Genomic DNA, 21,726 nt, shown 5'->3' with positions numbered 1-21,726 from the left:
TGCATTTTTTTTAGCAACATTGCTGAGTAGGAGGAAGGCCTGGATTGGGAAGCATATTCTTGGAGACTATTGTGCACAGCCTAAATAACTATCATAATGCATAAATGTGAAAAAAAACACAAAGCTGCCTAATTGTAAGACTTGAATTGAAAGAGAAATCTGGTGGCATCAAGTGGGGCCTTTGGTTCTAGGGTTGTTGAAAAGGTTTTGTGTAGGAAGTGCTGACTGGCATGATTATGGGTCCAGAAACCAAGCTGCCAGCTGTGACTGTGTATGTGCGGTGATGCTACCATCTTACCTGGGCTCTCAGAAAAGGGAACAAGTGGATGCTAGGAACTGGAAAGTACACTCAGTTTCATAGTCATTGAAGAGGAACAGGGAAATATCTAGGCCAGTGAAATAGTGGCTGAAACACTGGCCCCTGTGGCTCCATAGAGTCCTGCTGCTTCACCTTTCCATGTCCCATAGCACTGAAGTAGTTGATGAACAAGTAATGGGCTCTTCTGATTAGATGGGCTTGGTCTGACTCTTGGCCAATTGCAGGTAGCAAGCCAGCTCTTCTTTCACTCTCTCTTCCTCTCTTCTCTTTGCCAATGCCTGAATGGCATCCAAGAATGATTTCTAAGCAAAACCAGAGCATCTTGTGATTAGAAGTGAAGGAAGCAAACATACTAGGTAGAATTCTCCTGTGGTTTTCTTCATCCAGGCAGTGGATACTTGATGTATTTCCTGGAAAACTATGACAAGATTATTACAAAAGATAACTCTACATATATTACTTATTCTAAGGACAGGTGTTTGTTTTAAGAACATGAATGTACATAAAAATGTTGACTTATTTTCTGCTTTGAAGAAGAATTCATACTCATACAACATTGCAGCTTCCACATGTATACACAGATATTTTCACTCTTAGGGGTGGATACATAGGCAAATGGGCACATTGCATTAAACAAGGATCTGAAATTGGAAGAAATAAGTGCAGTAGAAACATACAGAGGAACTAAGTTTCACACATGAGGGAACACACAAAGTCAAAAGATCCTTTTGACCTGACTAAAGCAAGTTTTCTTCTGAGTGAACTATAGGCTTGGAAATTTTTGTTAGCTGTAGACTTTGAAGGGTTAAATACTTTCTTATACTACAAACTTCACTGTTTTGGTTCTTTTTAATAACCACCAATTTTCTGGGAGGGTTCATGGATTTTGGTGAAGAAGGTGGGAGTCAATTTGATGCAGAGGCCTTCTTGTACTCATTTATTCAACAAGTAACTATTTGTAATAGAAAGAGGATTATAAAATTATTAATAAAACAGACATAAGCCCTACCTTCTTGGAGCTTAGAGTCTAGTGAAAGAGACTGACATTAAGTAAAGCAACATGTAAGATAAATAATTATCAATTATATTAATTGTGCAAAGTATCCATTTGTATCAGTTGAACAATAACACACATTTTTAAGCTGCTACAGAAAATCTCCAACCATTCTTTTTTAGAGCAAACAATGGACATGTGTGGCATTAACTGCTTATTCTTTTTCAATATCTATTCTCCCCTTCTTTCTTAGTAATAGCACATGGCTGCACAGGTTTTTTAAAATACATTTTCAAACTTCTCTTTGCAGAAAGCTATGGCCCAGTGACTAACTCCTGGCTAATAGAATGTGAGTAGGAAAGTCGTGTTCAAATTTTGGGTTGTTTCTAAAGAGGAAGAGACGTGTTCTTTCCTTCTTCCTCCTCTTTCCTCCTAGCTAGAATGTATTCATATAGTAGGGACTACAGAGCAATTTGGGCTATGACGTGGAAGTCACATGTTGACGATGACAGAATAACAAGATCCAGCACCACCAAACCACCATCCCATACTCAAATCATCAACCTGGACTTTTGTATGAGAGAGAAATACTATTTCATGTTTTTCACATCACTGTATTTTTTAACTTCTTTGTTATAGCAGCCTTACTTCTATCCTGACTAATATGACATATTTCTCTTCCTGGCATACTGCTATCAGTTTTCAGTTGAAAAAGGTAAACATGGCAAAAAAAAAAAATGACAGGGGCATTTTGGGGGGCATTTTCCCTAGTGAAACATGGCTAGAATGTTCTCACATTCCTAAATTGATATTCCTCAGCAAAATTATAACTAGGTACTCAGTAATATCTAGTAATATCAAAATCTATATGATTTCATGTATACAATGTTCAGGAAGAAAGCAAAAGAAATATATGGTGTTACGAATCATTATAGAGGTAGTTAACAACCAAAAATCAGCTCGATCTTCTGATGATCTTGAGGAGCTGAGAGTTATATGGCACTGGAAGAAGGGCTTAGGAATCAGGAAGATAGAGGGCTGGATGCTAGCGAACTGAATTTAGTCCTCATGTCGTCTGGTTGTTTAAGACTGTGAATTGGTGAAAAACTTTAAGTAAGTTATAACATCCAGGAATTAAAATAAATCTCAGAAACTACCTCTACTTTGTATAAAAATGTTTCATCTCTTTCATCCCATTCTTGAGAGAATTAACCTCACTAGATAAACCTAGATGCACTAAGTCAATTTAATCTTCATAAAAAATTACATTCTAGGACTGCACATCCTGCACATGTACCCCAGAACTTAAAATGAAAGTTGAAAAGTAAAAAAAAAAAAAGAATAAATGCTAAATTTTTTTACTTTTTTTTAAAGGGCATTTTATTAAAATATGTTCCAAATGAACTGCTTTCAGAAATGCTCAATTGTGTTTATACACTAAATATTTAAGGAGAAATAATTTGGGGATAGGAGATGATATCTCAGAACATTGGCATACATTTGACAAATCAGTTTGAATCATATTCCATATCACAAATAATGGATCAAGTTTCACACTTGCTATGTATACCTTTTTCATCTAAAGTCCTCATGATTCTATAAAATACCTACAGATACCACAGGAGACATCTTTTCCACTAAGAAAAATAAGCTGAGAGTGAAACCTACCATATCTATCTACACCATGTGTGTATTATTTAAAAGGTTTTCTAAAGTTAAATGAGAAAATAGATTAACAACATGATTTTTATTGCTGATTTCTGAACACCTCAGTCTCATAACCATAGGAAGGTTTGTACCCATATCATAAGACACAATAACCTTAAATTCTATGTGTAAATATTTTGTGAATTTAATGCACTTTCTCTCATATCATTGTCATCTTTAATCACTGATGGTCAAGTCCTCGTGTCATCTGCTCTCTCTATTATTTTCTTTCCTATTCTGATGATCTAATTCTTCTCATCAAATCTATCTTACTATCCCACTCAACTTTTTCCTTTATGTATTCTGGAATGTCTGACCAATGATAATTTAATTTTCATGCATCCTCAACTCCTTCTCTCCAGAGCTTATCTTAATTGAAAGGTGATTAACTCCCAAGGATAATGCTTACTCAGGAAGCCCTTCAAGAAGTGGAAAATGATCATTTTCCCAATATATTAAGGCTATCTCTCATCACCATGGCTTATTCTAGACCAATGTTCTTCTGCTCTCATCAACAATACAAAACAAGTATTTTTTCAAGTCTCATGTCGTCCATCTATTTTCTGCCATTCTTGTTCTCTATCCTTCTAGCTAGTTTCTTTTTCACTGTTCCACCCTAAATCCTGTCATCATTCTACATAATTTCAGGTCACAGGGACTGACCAGCACAACATTCTTATTTTATAATACTTTGGTTTCTTTAACACTTATAAGTTTCAACTGAACTTTAGTTATCAGTACTTATATTAATAATGGAGTCAATTCTGTCATCTCTTAAAATGTTTATGACATTAAACTCAGGATTTCACGTTCTAACCACATCCACAATGGAAATCCTTCAGGTTTCTTATTCTCCCACTCCTAGCACATTATTTTTGGTCTCATGTTACCTACTGATTCCTTAATTTCTCCATTTCTGTCTATACCTCTCTTATATGTTCAGGAAAGGAGTGAGGAATTAAGAATTCTAGTGTAATCATAGTAAGCCTGAGAAATTCTTGGTAAAAATCCAACTAAAGATATACATAGACAGTTCAGAGCTCACAGGATAAATCTGGGCTGGAGACATAATTTGCGAATATTCAGCACAGAGATGCCATTTAAAGACATAAGTCTGGATTAGATCAACAGGAAGAAGTTGATAGAAAAGATGGGTTTGGAAGGAATATTGAAATACTTCAATATGTATAAGTTTAGTGGAGGAAATGTCAGCAAGGAAGACTGAAAAGAAATCGATAGTGGGCTGGGAAGAAACCAGGGGGGTATGCATTATTATGGAAGTTGAGCAAAGAGAGTGTTTCAAGAAGAATGCAATGTACGATGGAATGCCTTCTGTCATAGAATGAGGCAACATGGAAATCATTAGTAAAAAAACCATTTTGGTAAAATGTAAAGCTGGAAACCGGATTGAAGTGAGAAAAACAGTGAATAAAAGGAGAGGAATCTGAGCTATGATGGAGAACAAGAAAATAGTGAAGGAGATGGTAGATGAGTGGAGTTTTTGTTTGCTTTATGCTTGTTTTTCTTTTTCTTAAAAGATGGGGTATACAAAGTATGTTTCAATATGTATATGTTTAAATGTTTTCATGGAATATGAATAATCAAGTGGTGAAAGAAGTATTTATCATGCAGTAGAGAGAGGAAAAACAAAGGAGCAAAGTTGTTGAGAAATCATTTTAGGATGAAACTCCCCAGTACACAGGTAGAGAGGTTTTGCCTTTTCTGGGAGAAGGCAAGTTTCTACACTGAATTAGGAGGGCCAGAAATGCAAATTGTTTTTTCCAAATTGCTACTGAGAATAAAGAAGAATTCACTCTAATGGGGAATCTTATAACAAAGTATAAGGCAGGTATCAACTTGGAGGGATGAGAAAAGTGGGAATGTGAGTTTGGAGAAGTGGTATAAATAATAAATTCAGAGAGGGAGAAAGAAAATTTACTGAAGGAAAATAGTAGAATTTTGGCATTAATCAGGGTCCAAATGAGCTTATTGCTGTGAATTGAAGTGATACCAGTCATACTGATTATGTTTTTCTGTACACTTCCTCCTGCCCCCAGCACTATTTAGCTACTTCTACATAGGCAAGGCAAGGGAGTAGGAGACATGGTGAAGCAAGCACAATGGAGGGGAAGAGAGGAAGGGATCTGTGGGTGATTATGACCTGTGGAAGTCAAAACAGATGACTAGCAGAGCCAAACATAACACTGAGCTTATCCTCTTCCCATTCAAATATTCTTTTTATTTGCAGTTTTAGTCTGGCACTCTTTCTTACTGTTTTGGGAATCTTCTTATGACTTTAAGACTTATTTCTTCAACACAGCAAACTTCCTCAAGGAAAGGTATCACATCCTATTTCACTTTTGTTTCATCCTAAGAATAGGCATACTGAAGGTGCTCAATAAAGTATACTAAAGCAGTGAATTGGCGGTGGTTATGGGACCTGAACTCCTTCAGAAGTTTTACATTGAAATTATTAGCCTACTGCCAGAAACTTATCCCAAGAAATATTTGTTTAGTGTGAGTATTTACAGATACAGTACAGTAATTTTAGTGGTATTTGAATTTAGGCTTCATGTAGTATTCCCAATCCTTCTGTTAATTGCACTGATTACATCCTCTGGCTGATTACACTGAAAATTGCTATCCATGCCTCAGGTCAGGCAATGAGAAAGTTGTGGGTTGAGTTGTGAGGGAGGATAAATCGGTGTAAATTGAAGTAACAAGCAACTGAAAATAAAGGCAGGGGATGTTTGGAGAGAGTGTGCTGATTAGTTACCATGCTGAGCATTTTGCCTTCAACAAAATCTAACTCTGTGGGCAGACTGAAAGACTAAACTGCTGACTTACTGTGATATCACAATGGCCCTTGAAGTAAAGTTACCAACTCTCTAAATTTTTTTATTTTATTTTTACTTTAGCTAAGGAACACACCTTAGCTGTAAATTTATTCATACAGAGTATTTCTCTCTGCAATAGCTAGTCTTGACTTATTGTTTAAATTCTCAAAGTGTGGGTCACTTGACTCTAATCTGACCTTGCATGTCCAGCGGAATCTTCTATGTGCTAAGCAGCAGTACAGTGTCATCCTTAATACTTAGGGGTTTAGAGCAAGTCCCACTTAGTCTTGAGTTTTAACTTGTTTGAGCATTATCTTGAGTTTTGAGTGTTATCTTATCACTAGGAAGGATAAAGCTGGAAGGAGAGATAAGAAACCAATAGTCAAAGCAAGGGTTTTTGTAGGTCTGGTATGTTCTCCCAAATATAAAAGCCTTGCATAAAGTCTGTAAATGGAAGAATGAAAAAAAGAGAAGATGGATCATTTAAACAAATCTATATTGAGCTTGGGCATATACTGAAAGTCTCTTTCAAGCCATGTATTTCTGTTTTGGGCCCTGTTCTATTTGGTATTTTTAGCGGTGACTTGAATAACAAAGTACAGGGCCTGCTTATCAAATTTTCTAGAGTCTAATTTGTGAGGGATATCGGATACTCTGAATAACAAAATAAAAATTCAAGACTGTCAGATTAAAAAGTGAGCTAAAGGTAACAAGCTGAAAATCAGTGGGAATAAATGTGAAGTCTCATGCTTAGATTAAAACATCCATTGCACAAGACAGGTTGGGGGAAATGGAACTTAATTGCAGTTTGTGTAAAAACAAGCATTGATCGTTGGCACAATTTATGACAGAAAGCAAAGAGATCTTATACTTGAGTTAATAGAAATATAGCCTCCAGATGGTCGGATGTAAAAATCCAAATGTATTCTGTACTGATTAGATTACATCTGGAGTCTTGTATTTAGAGTTAGCCAATATATTTTCAAAGAGCCATTGAAAACTAGATGGTAATAAGGTGGTAGAAACATTTGTACACCACCATAGGACCTGATTAAGCTGGGAGAAGAAGAGATAGTTCGTGAGTACACAATAGTCATCATTTTATTTGAAGGTTTTCCACATGGAAGTAAAATTAAACCTGTCTCCAAAGGCAAAACTTTCTTCATAAATTAGACTTAAATTTGGGGTCAAATTTGAGGAACTGTTTTCTAACAATTAAATATACTCAAGGATTAAAGCTGTTTTGCAAAACAGGAAACATCCTGACAGAACAGAGGCCAGAAAAGAGTCCGGCAAGAAGAACATAAGGCGAACACTGGCATTCATTGAGGGTTTGGCCTGTATGTAGATGATCTCTAAGGTCCCTTTTAACCCTGTGGCTCTACAAGAGGGAACTGGATTTTGAAAGCTGAATCTTTATAGTGAAAACGTGTTCCTTGGTATTAGCTGTCCAGGCTGCTGAGTCGTGCACATAGGCAGTGTTTTCTTTTGATTAGCTCATCCTTGTCTGATGGACAGGTGTTGTTTCCAGTGAAGCTGGCTCAGCTTTCTTTGTTTTAGTTACTTTGAAGCAGAAGGATTAATCCCCTCTGGAGATATTTGCTTGTTTTTGCTGTCAGAGCAGTCACACTTTTCCCTTTGTATCTCTTAGATTGTTTTTTGAAGTTCAGCTTCACAGAGAAATAGGCCTCATGTTTCCTTGGTGATTCACTGAGTCTAGATAGTCCCTCCTCCACCTCCCCAAACTGCCACTGATGGTTTCTTCATCCTGGTTTGCAGTTTGGCCTCCACAAGGAAGGATAAAAGACCGACCACTTTTTGGGCCAAAACTTAACAATTTCTTGCAAAAAGTATCTCTCAGAGGTCAAACAGGCACAGGCCAAAGCCATTTCTTTCATTCTTTTCCCCACCTTTATTTGAGGTGCCTTCTGTATGAGAAAACAAGCAAATGTTAATATAAGTTTATATTTTAGAAATCAGTGCTTTCATCAGAAATAAGTATAGAAACTCTATATAAACCCACTTTGTAAAAGCATTGATGATTTACATTTAAGGCCTTTGCCATTTTTGAGTCATGGCAAATTGCCCCTTCTGGCCTTTCTTCCACAGGGCACTTTTTTCAAAATAGGATTGTTGTAAGGGCATGAACTTGGAAACACATTTATAAAAATTGAACTGGAATTAAATGGAGTAAAATATTATAAAATCTCAATGCAAATAAAACTATAAATACATATGTCGGCTTTATTACCTAAATGCATTTTGTTAATGCCATATGAAATGGATAATTTAAATCAAATGTAAATTTTCCCTGGAAAGTATCTGGATCAAGAGAATAAGAACATAAGGCACAGACTGAGAAAAAAATATTTGCAAAAGATACATCTGATAAATGACTATATCAAAATTATGCAAAGAACACCTAAAATTCAACAATAAGAAAACAAACCCGATTTAAAAATGGGCCAAATAACTTACCTGACACCTTACCAAAGAAAATATACATATGGCAAATAAGCATATGAAAATTTCCACACAGTATGTCATCAGGGAAATACACATTAAAATAACAATGAGATACCACTACACATATACTAGAATTCCTAAAATCCTGAACACAGGTAATACCAAATATTGGCAAGGATGTGAAGCAATAGGAACTTTTATTTACTGTTAGTGGGAATGCTAAATGATATAGCCATTTTGGAAGACAGTTTGGTATTTTCTTACAAAACTAAATGTAATCTTACATACTATCCATCAATTATGCTCCTTGCTATGTACCCAAAGGAATAATAAGCATATCCACACAAAAACCAGCCTACAGATGTTTATAGCAGCTTCATTCATAATTGCCAAAACTTAGAAGTAACCAAGATGTTCAGTTGGTGAATGGAGAAATCAACTGTGGTACATACAAAGGAATATTATTCAATGTTAAAAAGAAATGAGCTATCAAGCCATGAAAATGCATGGAGAAATCTTAAATGCATATTACTAAGTAAAAGAAGCCAATCTGAAAAAAGCTATATGCTGTATCATTCTAACTATTAACATTCTGGAAAAGGCAAAACTATGGAAACAGTGAAAAGATGAGTGGTTGTCAAGGGTTTGGGAAGAAGCATGAATATGCAGAACACAGAGGATTTATAAGGCAGTGAAAATCCTCTGTACAATACTATAGTGGTATAGATATGTCATATATGTTATTTTTCAAAACCCATGGAATGCACAAAACCAAGAGTGACCCCTAATGCAAACTATGGACTTTGTGTGATTATATGTCAATGCAGGTTCATCAATTGTAACAGATGTTCCATTCTAGTGGGGCCCATTGATAAGGGGGGAACTATGCCCTTGTGGAGGGAGGGGCTATATGAGAAATCGGTGTATCTTCCTCTTAATTTTGCTGTGAACCTAAAAATTAAATCTTTTAAAAAATGATATGTGGCTAGTGTGTAGCCATTTTTCACTGCTCTGTCATACAGTTGGAATAAAAATACCCTACAGGTCTTGCTATTTGAAATGTAGTCCATGGATCAGCTTCATCAACATCATCTGGAGATGTTTTAGAAGTTCAGATTCTCAGGCTCTACCTCAGGTTTAGTATATTAAACTGTACTTTAACAAGATCCCCAGTGATTTATATACACATTAATGTTTGAGAAGTACTGCTCAAGAACTTATATGCTCAAAAACTTGCAGATATCTAAAATCTAAGATGCAGACTAGCTCTAAGTAGATGGTACTGTTTTAATGATAAAATTTCAGAAAGATCATCATGCCAAACCATCTCCTGCTGTGTTTTCTAGATTAAGAATACACATTTGGTGCAAAAGTCCACAATTCCATGGTGAAAGGTAAAATTTCTAAAAGCTCTTGATTCCACACAGAAGACTCTTTTGATGTGGGGGAGATCTTTTGTTCTCATTGGCTTATTTGCTTTAAATTGATTTTTTTTTTACCTGTTTCCCATGGCTATTATGGTAATAGATGCTTTGGGGGTTTCCTGGTGGGTAAAAGATGTATGCTTCTTTCCTCTGCAGCAATAACTTTGAGAAGGATAATAGGAAGTCACTGTATGAACCAGAAAAAAAGGAAACATAGAATATAGTCTAGCTTCTTTTTTCTTTTCTTTTCTTTTTCTTAAAGATGGATTTTCGCTCTTATCACCCAGGCTGGAGTGCAATGGCACGATCTCGGCTCGTTACAACCTCTGCCTCCCGGGTTCAAGTGATTCTCCTGGCTCAGCCTCCCAAGTAGCTGAGATTACGGGTATGCACCACCATGCCCGGCTCATTTTTGTATATTTACTAGAGACAGGGTTTTGCCATGTTGGCCAGGCTGGTCTCGAACTCCTGACCTCAGGTGATGAGACCACCTCGGCCTCCCAAAGTGCTGGGATTACAGGCGTGAGCCCCCAAGTCTGGCCTAGTCTAGCTTCTTAGATATGCAAAAGGTGTCTTTACAGCTCATAAGTGTTCCAGGACAGTTCATCATGATTAGAAACCTTCTACAGATTTAGGCTTAAAACTCTAGTTAGAAACAACAGTGTTCGTACCTGGTTTATTATCCATGTAGATCTCTACTCAATACTTAGCATAATGATAGGTGGTTGAAGGCAACAAAACACAAGTGACATCTCTTAGCAGACTTGAGCTCCATATCTTAAGACTTTGATTCAGGTTATATGGTAAATATCCTTGCTTGGGATGGTATATTATATTAAGTGGGTCTCAACGTCTTGCATTAGTGAATGACCTTAGGGCTGCTGTTAACAGTTAGGGAGTGTCAGCATGATGTTAATACAGCACCCAAGAAAAAGTGCTTAACCAGAGAATTTAAGAAGGAATTGTTTTTCTCACTGGGTCATCTATAGAATTTTGCCCTGATTACAGTTTGTGTCTAATCTGCTCCAGGAAAGAACAAGACAATGGGTACAGTGAGGTGGACTGCTAATTAAAACATAGCCTTAAATTCATTATCCATATTGTGAGTGATTATAGTCTACATTGTATTAAAATTTTAAAATCTAGAATAAGAAGAAAGGGATTATGAACTCAGGGTTAGAGATATATTTATGTGTGTTTTAGAAGTAATCTTTAGCTTTTTCTTATTTAAAATGAACTCATAATGACATACAGTCAATTTGAAAATTTGATGGTGTAATGCATGTAGAAGCACTTGGTAAGCTGAAAAAGACAGCTCAAATATTATATGTCTACATACAAACAGATACTATTTATTCTCTCACTTACCATTTTCTCAGTGCAGGTCAACACTGATTGTAACCTAAAAGCATGAGATGCAACTCTTTCTCTCCAGACTTAATTTTGTTATTTATCAAAATTTACAATTGATGAGAAAACGCCCCCACCCCCAACTTAGCATATCTCTCTCCTTTCTTCAATTCTGTCCTCTTACTCTGCTTATTCCCCAGACCATTCTAAAAAGTTCCCTCTCTTCCCTTGGTGTTTATATTCTTCAAATGCTTGTAGACAGTTTTCATACGCCACCTCAGTTGTTGCTTTGCCAAGCTACATAGATTTAGTCCTTTTCATCTTTCCTCATAAGTCACTGCCTCCATCTCTTTAATCATTTTTCTTACTGTTCTCTGAATTCCATCCAATTTGTTGATATCTTTCTGGTAGAGAGGTGCCAAGAACAGAGGGTACAGTGTGGTTAAGGAGCCGTGTCCATCACTTCTCAGCCAGATGGGATGGTTGTTACTTCAGAGGACACACTGAATATATACTGGGGGCTGAGATAAAGGAAAAGGAAACAGTAACTCTTGAGAAAGTAATTCTATAATTCATTGTCCCTAGGGAAAATAAAATAAGCATTTAATTAAAAGATGTGTTTCTAGTTTTGTGACTAGCAGATGCTGTTTTGGTGACAAAGGCAGAAAATTGCATCATTTAATAAGATAAGAAAACACAGGAGCATAATGCTGTAAATCAGACCCTTTCTCACATTTAGAGAAACAATTGTAAACTATGAACAATATTATCTTGAAAATGCTTTTAGTTATTTTATTTAGTATGAAAGCAGACAGGAAATCTGGATCAAATAATTAAAACATTTAACATATTTCTTGTACCATGCTAATGCAGATAATAACCAATTCATAAAATGTGCCTCACAAAAAAGGATAAATTCTGTAAATTTATATTTATGTAGAGTTTCCATCAAAGGTTTTTAGGTTATGTTTCAAGATTTAGGTTTAGGTTTACTTGCAGGCTGAGTGACAGGTTAAAGTGTGAATATTTGTTATGTAGGCTTTCCACAGTTAATACTCAGAAGCAAGTATTTTCTAGTGTATTAGACTGAAGCTGAATATAGATATTTCATGAGATGCTTTATTGAAACTGAGTTTCGTTACAGCCCTAATTTATCTTTAGTGTTTTGCTTTATGCTTATGTTTAAAGTTTGACTGTACTCATTGAACTGTGCTTGATCATTAGTAATGGCAGCTATCTTTAATGAGATGCATGTCACCCTCTAGCAGGTGGTATGGTCTAATAGTCTGAGGATTGAATTATGATTCAGAAAGGAAATATTTCTTATATGGGACTACATCATAGAATGAGAAAGCTGCAAGTATCTTAAAAATGAAATAACACTTGAAGTGGGAGAAAGAAAAAATAAACAAAACAGGTTTCCTGAATAATAATCATGCCCTCTTAGTCCCTGAAAGGAGAAATCACAATTCATATATTGCTATTATAGAATCTAGCAGAAGCCTGGTCAATAAAGTGCTGACATCTTTAGTTAAGACAACCCATCTGTTACTCTACTTTGTGCTGTAAGGAGGATGAAGAGAGAAATAGTTACTACAATGCATGTATGTTTTCTAGCATTAAAGCTGCAGAGAAAATAAATCTGCATGCCCTTACTTCTTAGAACTCCAAGAACATTACTGAGGTTGTGTTGGTCTACATACTACCAATACTTACACTGATGGTAATTCTTAGATATTGGCCTAGTCAGAGTACAAAGTTTAATTATAAATTCATATCTTCCCCTTGATACCTTTATCCTAAAATGCAGGTTTTGAAGATGGGAAAGTAAAATCCAGAAATATAGGCACAATTAACAAAGCTATGTAATTGGATTCATAAGAATGAAAGTTTGGGTTTTAGCTTATCTAGCCATGTGACCTTGGGAAGCACTCTTTGTTAATGCAGTTTGTTAATGGAGTAACTATCTACACACTTCTAATTCCCAGGGTAGTCAGGAATATCTATGGGGTTAATGCCATGGGGTATAGTAAGGGCAGTGCTGTACTGAAAGGCACAATAACTCCTTATTGTTTTTCATTTTGTGGTAAAGGTAATCATGTCTCTTTACATGTCTTTCATCTTCACTCTAAGGTTTACTCCTAAAAAAACCATTAGTTTGGAAAAGATTCAACTCTGCAACCATATTAGTTTTGCTTATAAGTTTCAGAGTAGTGAATGGGAAAATAATTTGCATTGCATGAAAAGTAGTACTTACATTTAGAATTTTCTTTCATATCAGTTTTTTATATTTAGAATTTTAAAATTTTAGTAGAGAAATAAGGGATAGGAAATTATTCTAGTCCCAGCTGAGACTCTTCTATCTCATTGTATGGCTGTACCCTAAGGGCATAGTTAGCATCACTTTTCTGGTCACTTCCTCCTGATATATTTGGGATAAGAAAGGGTTTATACCTGCTCCTCTCCCACATCTTCATCTTGACTATCACTTCTGCATGGCATTTTCTCTCCTCCGTCATTCTTTGTGTTGCCATGGTCCACTGAACACTTGTTGCTGGTACACCAGGGAAGTTATGTGTGGCAGACCCCTTTCAGTAAAACTGAGATCTTCAAAATGGCCTTTGCAGAGAGGGAGTAGATAGAATGGAGGGCAGGTCCTCTTTCATCTTACACTTGTGGGAATAGTAATCCAAAAAATTATATGGGCATATATACAATACCACTGAAATCTTGGGAAACTATTTTAAAATTAGAAATTTGTGGGAAATTTTAATTTTTATTCTAAGTGTTCATTGTTTAAGAGAAATGCGCTCACGGTTCGAATTTGCTTGAGCATGATCTGTGGGTACAGCCTCACTTTAACGTTGCTCTTTTCTTCCTTGATCTCTCCACCATTAGCAGAGGCCCTTTTTGTCTAAACCACTGTCAGACTTATCTCTACCTACATTTTAGGACACATTATCCTCTACCTATAGAAACTGATCTTATCATCTTCCTACCTCTAGCAAGATATATCTCCATGTCTTAAGTCTGGAATAATCTGGGATCTGTTCCCAGAGGAAAAGCTCAGAGTGGACTTTGGTACCCCTTGTGTAACAGAACAATCTAGGGCGTCATAGGAACATCATTTGTGATTCCTGTGAGGTCACAAATGATTTCATCAATATGCGTCTTTTGAAGGGGGCAGGTTTACTGGTTAATTGCTAAATCACATACATAGAAGCACATACACACAGATCCATATTCTGCCTGGTCAAGAAGGAAACACTAATTCTCAGAGGCAGATCTTTCTAAATAAGAGTTCTCAAACTAGTAATCCACTAGCCTAATTCAGCTCGCGTATATATTTTATTTGGCCCATACAGTTTTTGTTTATTTTTAGAAATTGCACCAGCATTAAAAACGGATACATTTGATATAAAAATCCACATTTCTAGCTTTTCTCAAAAATATATTAAGATCTAGATCCACTAGACCTATAATTCTACATGAGAAAATTTGGCTAAGCTGAGTAGGGGCTGCCTTCTATAGGCAATGTGTATGGTCTTCATTCAGCCATGGTCTCTACCAGTTCCTGTTACTGTCCCAGCATGGAAGCCATGCTAATTATTAGTCATCACCGCATTGTTTCTCTTATCCATAAGGAAAAAAAATCCATTTCTGTTTTCAAAATCCATAACTCTGAGCTGTGGGAAATCAATTAAATGTTCTAATTTTTTTCTAAGCCTGATTAGTGGCAGTAACCGAGTTCAAATTTGTCATATTTTCATCCATAACAAACTTGCATTTTTGGACCATAAAGTGAAAATAATAAAGAAGGAATAAAACTGTAAAAACCCACCTGATCAAAATAATTATAATTATTATTAACAAGGGGTAAAAATGTAGAAAGACGTATTTATTGGATAGATGACCATCACTAAAAAAAAAAAAAAAAATTAACTCTCCATGTACTAAAGCAAGAACAAAGCATATTCCATTTTTTCCAATTCAGAATGCCCTTGAAGTAGATTCTACATATAAGTAATCATGGACAAATTATAAATTAGAAAAGTGATGTAGGCTTCCTTGAATAAAGAGAAAACAAAATAGACGTTATGTTTTCTCAATTCTTAAGATGTAAGTTGCCTAATTGTGGCTGGGGGAGAAGGAATCAGAAAATATTAGAGATCGAATGACTCTTGCTAGCATTTAACTTCTCCCACATCCCAACATTTACTGATGAAGAAACTGAAACTGTCCATAGTATCACAATTCATCTATTGCAAAGGCTAGAAAACAGGATTTTTGGTTTAGAGATAGTGCTGCCTTTGATCATTAGAAATTATTATAACTCAGCACATGGAATTGGCACTCATCTTTTATGTTTGCAGTCTGCAAGATGTGCCTTTATTATTTTTCAATAAGTCTTAAGGTGGTCATTGGGCAGGGAGGATGGTCCTGCTATGGAGTAGGGAGAAACAAATCAACATAGTTTTCATTTCTATAGAATGCTTCACCTCTATAGCTATTAGACCATGAGACTTTATGAACTAAGTTTAGCCACTGCTCTTTTTACCAACTTAGTAGAGAGAACAGAGGCCTGGTAGTGAAGGTCAACAACTCTGATTTATAACCTGTCTCTACCTAGTATTTAATTTTAAGACTATGACTAGGAAATTTAATCTTTCTGAACCTCGGCTTCCTTATCAGTGTAGTGAAGATAATGCTACTCAGCTTGTGGACTGTTCACTTCTTCATTGAAGAAGTGCATATTAAACCCCTACTATGTGCCAGACGTTGTTCTTGGTGCTAGTGGAGAGCCAGAAAACAAATGCTCTACCTTATAGGAGGCAAGGTAGTTGCAAGGATTGAAAGAATCATCTGCAATGGTTTCTTACACAGAGGGCATGTTCAATACTTTTCATTGTTCATTTTCTCTCTGATTCTTTTCCGAAACCACACCCTAAAATCAGGAGAATCTTTGCTCCTAAGTTTCAGTATAGATTGAGAAAATAAAGCATATAAATGGCCAAGAATAGGACTTTGTGAATTTTAAATAACCAACCAAGATCCAATTTTTTTATCTTTGTGCCATGCGTGAATGAGGTAGGTTATGTAAAACAAGGACAAATGCACAAGCGCCTCCAGTCATACACTTTCCCATGACAACATGCACAATCTATTCTTTGTCAAATGTAGAGCAACTCCTGCAGTACTTGTATTTCAGAATTTTTCTATGGCTCTTAGAGCAAAATCACAGACATTTTACTTTGTCTTTGTTTCCGCCAAAAATTTGTAAGGCAGAGTAAGATTCCCATTCCTCTACATTTTTATACACTAGGATTAGGGGTGGACATGGGTGATTAATCAAGAAAAAATTCTCATGTCTTCTTTTGATCATCATCTCTGAAAGAGAAAAGAGAAATTAAACAGAATTAGGCTGCTGTGAGGAGATCTTGAAAGCATTCAGGAAGACTAACAACAGAGTCGCTTATTTTTTTGCCCTAAAGGGAACTCTTGACAATTGAAGTAAGGAATGAAAGTAAACACTCTACTAGGCCCCTTATAGGTGTTTTCATTAATTCTTATGACATATAATCCAATAACATGAAATATAAATAATAGAACATTGGCAAAAAAAACCCCACACAATTTAAGTATAGTTTTGAATTATGTTTATGTTACCTCTGATTAGGAAGCCTATGTTTTTCCACTTCATCATAAGTGAGATTCATCATATCCCACTAGCCATTGTCATATGTGTGTGACAGTGTTTGTCTGAGCTTTGTTTCATTTCAATCCAAAGTATACTTTCTTTGGTGTTATGTACAGCTATTGGAGTAGTGACTTCTCCCTATTATAGGATCATGGGTTAATGAAAAATACATCCATTTCAGACCTGCTAATAACTGGTTGCATGGCATGGGTTGAACAAGTCACTTGATTTCTCTGGGCCTCTGTTTCCTCACCTGTAAAATGGGATGAGTTCAGACTAGGCTACCTGTAATACCATGTAGCTCAGCAAAGGCGATTCCTCAAATGTATATGTATGTGTGAGTGTATTTAAATAAGTCTTTAAAACTATCTGATTGTCCACTCTTTTATAATAATACTGGAAATATACTGAATTGTCACAAAATTAGGGTTCTATCCCCTCCTGAGAGAAATATATTTGCTATTAATTCTAGAATACCCCCCTACATGCTTGTCATTGCCCCAGGCAAGTGATGGAAGAGAAAACAGGAACAGGAAACAGTACCTGCAGTTATGCATCTCTTTTTTCAGAACACTGGCTCCTAAATTAATAGAAGGCTGCCTGTTCCCCCAGCATCTTCTGTCTCTGTCCTCCCCTCCCTTTCATCAGTAATCTTACCTCTTCTCAGCTAGCTGTTTGCTAACCCAGGGTAAATTATTTTTGAAAACTGTGACATTATACTTATTGTAACAGTAGCAATTAACTTTCAGTTGTTTTCAGCTTGTAGCAGAAGTGAAGTGAGTTTTGGTAGGGGAGAAGAAGGAGGTAATTTCAGGGAATTCAAGCATTTGGAGAAGCCCACATCTTGTAGATGACAGTAACAAACATTTACGGATTTAAAGAATGTAAAGCCCCAGTAGAATGCCTGGCAAATAGTAGTAGGAGTTTAATAAATTGCATCCTATTATTCTTACTTCACAAACCAGCCTTGCATGTTTTATAATCTACTCAGATCCTTGGAAAGCAGGTTCTTCTTTAAAACCTCCATGAAGTCGGCTGGGTGTGGTGGCTCACACCTGTAATCCCAGCACTTTGGGAGGCCAAGGCGGGTGGGTTACTGGAGGTCAGGAGTTTGAGACCAGCCTGGCCAACATGGTGAAACCCTGTGGTGGTGGGCACCTGTAGTCCCAGCTACTCAGGAGGCTGAGGCAGGAGAAACGCTTGAACCCTGGAGGTGGAGGTTGAGGTGAGCCGAGATTGTGCCACTGCACTCCAGCCTGGGCAACGGAGTGAGACTCCGTCTCATTAAAACAAACAAACAAATAAAAAAACCTCCATGAAGTCCTTGAAACCTGGAACACTGTTTTATAATTCAACCTAATGTATTAATTCTAGAGATAAACCATTTTCTGTTGCCTTTTCTTTTCTCTTTCCCTGGATTTCGCTACTCCCTTATTTTGTTCTTCATTCCTGTATTTTCTCTCATTCCCTCTTTTGACTTTGTTCCTTTTACATCTGCAATATAATTGCTATTTCCTAATATCCTTATTATCCAGCCCACCTCACTTGTGGCCATGAGGTAAAGTATATTCTCTGGCTTGGGAGAAAGCCTACTAATGTGCAGAAACCCCATACCTGAGGCAAGGTGAGGATTTAATACGTTTTCTCATCTCTTCTTCCCCAGTCCCCCTCCTCTGTTTTCTTTTGTATCAAAGTACTAAGAGTCATACTTAGCACTTTTTATTTTCCACCAGTTTTCTTTTCTCTTGCCTTCTTTTATTTTATTTTGCTTTCTGTCAGCTTCTGGAAGACTGAGAATCAAGGATGTGTGAAGAGATTGTCCAATAACATGAAAGCAGAAACACAGCAAAGGGGTCACTGAGTTTTGAGAGGACTGCTGTTGCATTCATGCATATTACTGGCATTCTTTCACTTAAATAAAATGTATTATGTTTATTTCTTTAAAAAATATCAACAATCTGTGGTTTGATTGCCCTTCCTCACCTCAGGTCTTTGTCTTTCTGGCATCCAATGCTCATTTCTCCATCTGCTTTTTCTTATACTGTTTCTCTTTCCTGGATAACTGGCCTCCCTCTTCTCTATTTAATACTCCTTTCAGTATAAATCTCCCTCATTTTATATGATTTTGCTAATGAATAATAATAATAAAATAGAAATTGCGTATTGCTTTACAGGGTAAGATTTTTTTTATGTTCACATTTTATCTGACTCTTGAAATAATTCCAAAAGACACATATTACTGTAATTCCCAATTTGCAGATGAGAAAACCAAGCCCAGGCCCCAATTACATGGAACTATTAGGCATTATGATTCCTGATATTATGCCCTTTGCACAAAACTGTACTGTCTTTCTATCTTGCCTATATTGATCTTTGCCTTTGATGATTTATTTTAGTACTTACACCAACTCTGTGTAATTTATTATTTAATTATATACTGTGGAGAATTATTCTAAAATTACTTTATAAATCATCTCATATATATTAGGTTTATTCAGTTTAACACAGTTAGTTTATTCAGTCTAATGCGATGGAGATTCTATCTTACCCAATGCTTGTATTTCTCTTTTAGTACTTGACTCCGTATTTGAACCACGCATATTTAATAAATATTTTTATTGATTGACTGAATTAAAAATTATTCTATTCAACAAATTTCATATCTTCTTATGTGTCTAAAAAGATGGCTAGGTGGTAATTGTAATGATGATGGTGATAGTTCTTGTTGTTAATAACCCTGCTATGGTTTGAATGTGCCCTTAAAATGCATGTGTTGGAAATTTAATCCCCAATACAGCAGTGTTGGGAGGAGGGACCTAATGAAAGCCAATTAGGCTATGAGGTCTCTGCCCTCATTAATGGATTAATGTCATTATCTCAGGGGTGAGCTTTTTATAAAAGGATGAGGTCAGCCCCCTCTTACCTGTTTCTCTCCTGTCCTTCTGCCTTCCATCATGGGATGACCCAGCGAAAAGGCACTTGACAAATGCAAACCCCTTAATCTTGGACTTCCCAGCCTCCAGAACTGTAAGAAATAAATCTCTCTTCTTTATGAATTACCCAGTCTCCGATATTCTGTTATAGCAGCACAAAAGGGACTAAGACAAATCTCATCCTCTTAATTCCCGTATGAGAACTATGTGTGTTTCTCCTGCTAGTATTGCCATTTCACAGATGTAACCATGAAGCAGATAGTGACCAAATCACTTCTGCCAGTGTTGCCCTTGCCAAATTCAATGATGACTGATGCCCTTTGGAATGCATACTACACTCTCTATTTTGTAAATGTGGACTACCCATGTCAGCTTCAGCAATATTTACCCAAGAGTAAATAAGATTTTTGAAATTATAGTCAAATGTTTGGAATACCACTTTACAAATCTGGGTAGGCTAAGTGCCATTGTGTTATACTAGTCTAGCCTTCTGTGCAATATGATGTTTTTAATTCCGTTTTTTAACTTCTATTTTTTTTTAATCTGGCAGAGATGGTTTAAAGAAAAAGTAAAGAGCTAGCGGCTGGCTTATTATTTTTTTTTTTCCAGTAGGAGGAGTACCTCTTTAAGGAGGAAACAGGTGTTAAAGTACTTCTCTTCTTTATCCTTAACCTACTCCCTATTTTTTTTCCCTATCTTCCTCACTGGCAAGAGAGTCTGGCTTTTATACATAAGATTTACAGGAAATGTTTCTTCCTCGGCAGAAGAAATATTTAGACAGCAGCAGTGACAGACTTGAATATCCCACCCACGGTAGACCTTCTGGTTCCATGAAGTCTTTCATATGAGAGAACTGAAGGATGAAAGGTGTTTTTCAAAAGTTTTTAAATTATTTTTAATAATTACAGTTCTCTTCCTCAGAGACTGGCAATCTGGAGATTTAGGGATATTTTTCTCTTCACTGGCTTGAATTTTTCAAAATTCTGTTGTTTTCTTTTTTCTCTTTCAAGGATAAGTAGGAAACCTTACTACAGGTTATCATGCAAGGTGGCTTTTGAAAGCGATGGTGGCAAAAAAAAAAAAAAAAACTGAATGCCTGCTTCACAGTCTACGTGGGAAGTAGTGATAAAGGAAGGGATGCTTTCAGGGCAGAGAGTGTATTATTTCTCCAAAAAACCAGGTCAGTATGTAATGTAGCAGACATGTTATGCGACCTGAAAACAGTACAAATGAAATAACATTAGAGAGAAACAAAACTACATCCTATAAAGAGAATATGAAAGAAAACCAGAGCACATATACAATGTATCCTTTTGGGAGCAAAAGCATCCTTAAACAAAGAAAAAGGACACTCTTGGTGCTCTTAGTATTCTTGACACTATTGTTTTTTGGGATAAACAGCATTTCCTGGGAGCTTGTCAGAAATTCAGACCCTTCATCCCCACCTCAGATCTACTGAGTCAGAATCCGCATTTGACAAGATTCCCCCATGACTATCTCTGAGGTGCCGCTAAAGACATTGGTACTAACTCTTTATTTCTGACTGTTTCTGCCTTTTCTGTCTTTGGACCCTTTGCCTTCCCCTTTCCCTTTATTTCAGCAAGTTCTTAAGGAGGACTCAGCTGACTTCTCAGCTACTGGATCAAGCCCGTCTGCTTGTAATAAATTGCATAATACTGTAGAGGGAATCTGTATTTAGCTAGCAAAACACAATTCTGATGTCAGGCTAACTGTCTCTGGGGATGCTGGTTGGGCATGCTGCTGGGCGCTCTGTGGTTAATATATAATTTTATCTTTGAAAGACAGAAATTAGATCAATATTTCTTCATTTCCTTGGGTTTAAGAGTAGCTCACGCTAGGATTAATAGGTCTCAATGTTTTTCAAAATGCTAATATTCGTTCTATGTTGTCAGAACAATAAATCATTTACTCTAAGTTCAGGCCCAAGGAATAGTGAAGCAATTACTGACTCTGGTCACAAGATTAAACCTTTGAAAT

The 21,726-nt window shown here is 36.4% G+C and overlaps 1 long non-coding RNA gene across 4 annotated transcripts; it reads right to left on the bottom strand.

The window, feature by feature from the left end:
- Positions 1-6,936: 6,936 nt before the first annotated feature.
- Positions 6,937-14,194, bottom strand: TUSC7 (tumor suppressor candidate 7). Of its 4 annotated transcripts, none has more exons than NR_015391.2 (4): positions 13,552-14,194; positions 11,116-11,618; positions 9,823-9,934; positions 6,937-7,785 (listed from the first exon to the last, which is right to left on the bottom strand). It is a non-coding gene; the product is annotated as a tumor suppressor candidate 7 (long non-coding RNA). The 4 variants fall into 4 exon arrangements; NR_186112.1 differs by having other exon boundaries at positions 11,374-11,618; NR_186111.1 differs by having other exon boundaries at positions 11,466-11,618.
- Positions 14,195-21,726: the final 7,532 nt, after the last annotated feature.

Source organism: Homo sapiens, chromosome 3 (genome assembly GCF_000001405.40).
Source record: "Homo sapiens chromosome 3, GRCh38.p14 Primary Assembly".
NCBI classification, from domain to species: domain Eukaryota; kingdom Metazoa; phylum Chordata; class Mammalia; order Primates; family Hominidae; genus Homo; species Homo sapiens.
Note: the sequence above shows the minus strand (reverse complement) of the source record. Positions and strands in the feature narration are given on the sequence as shown.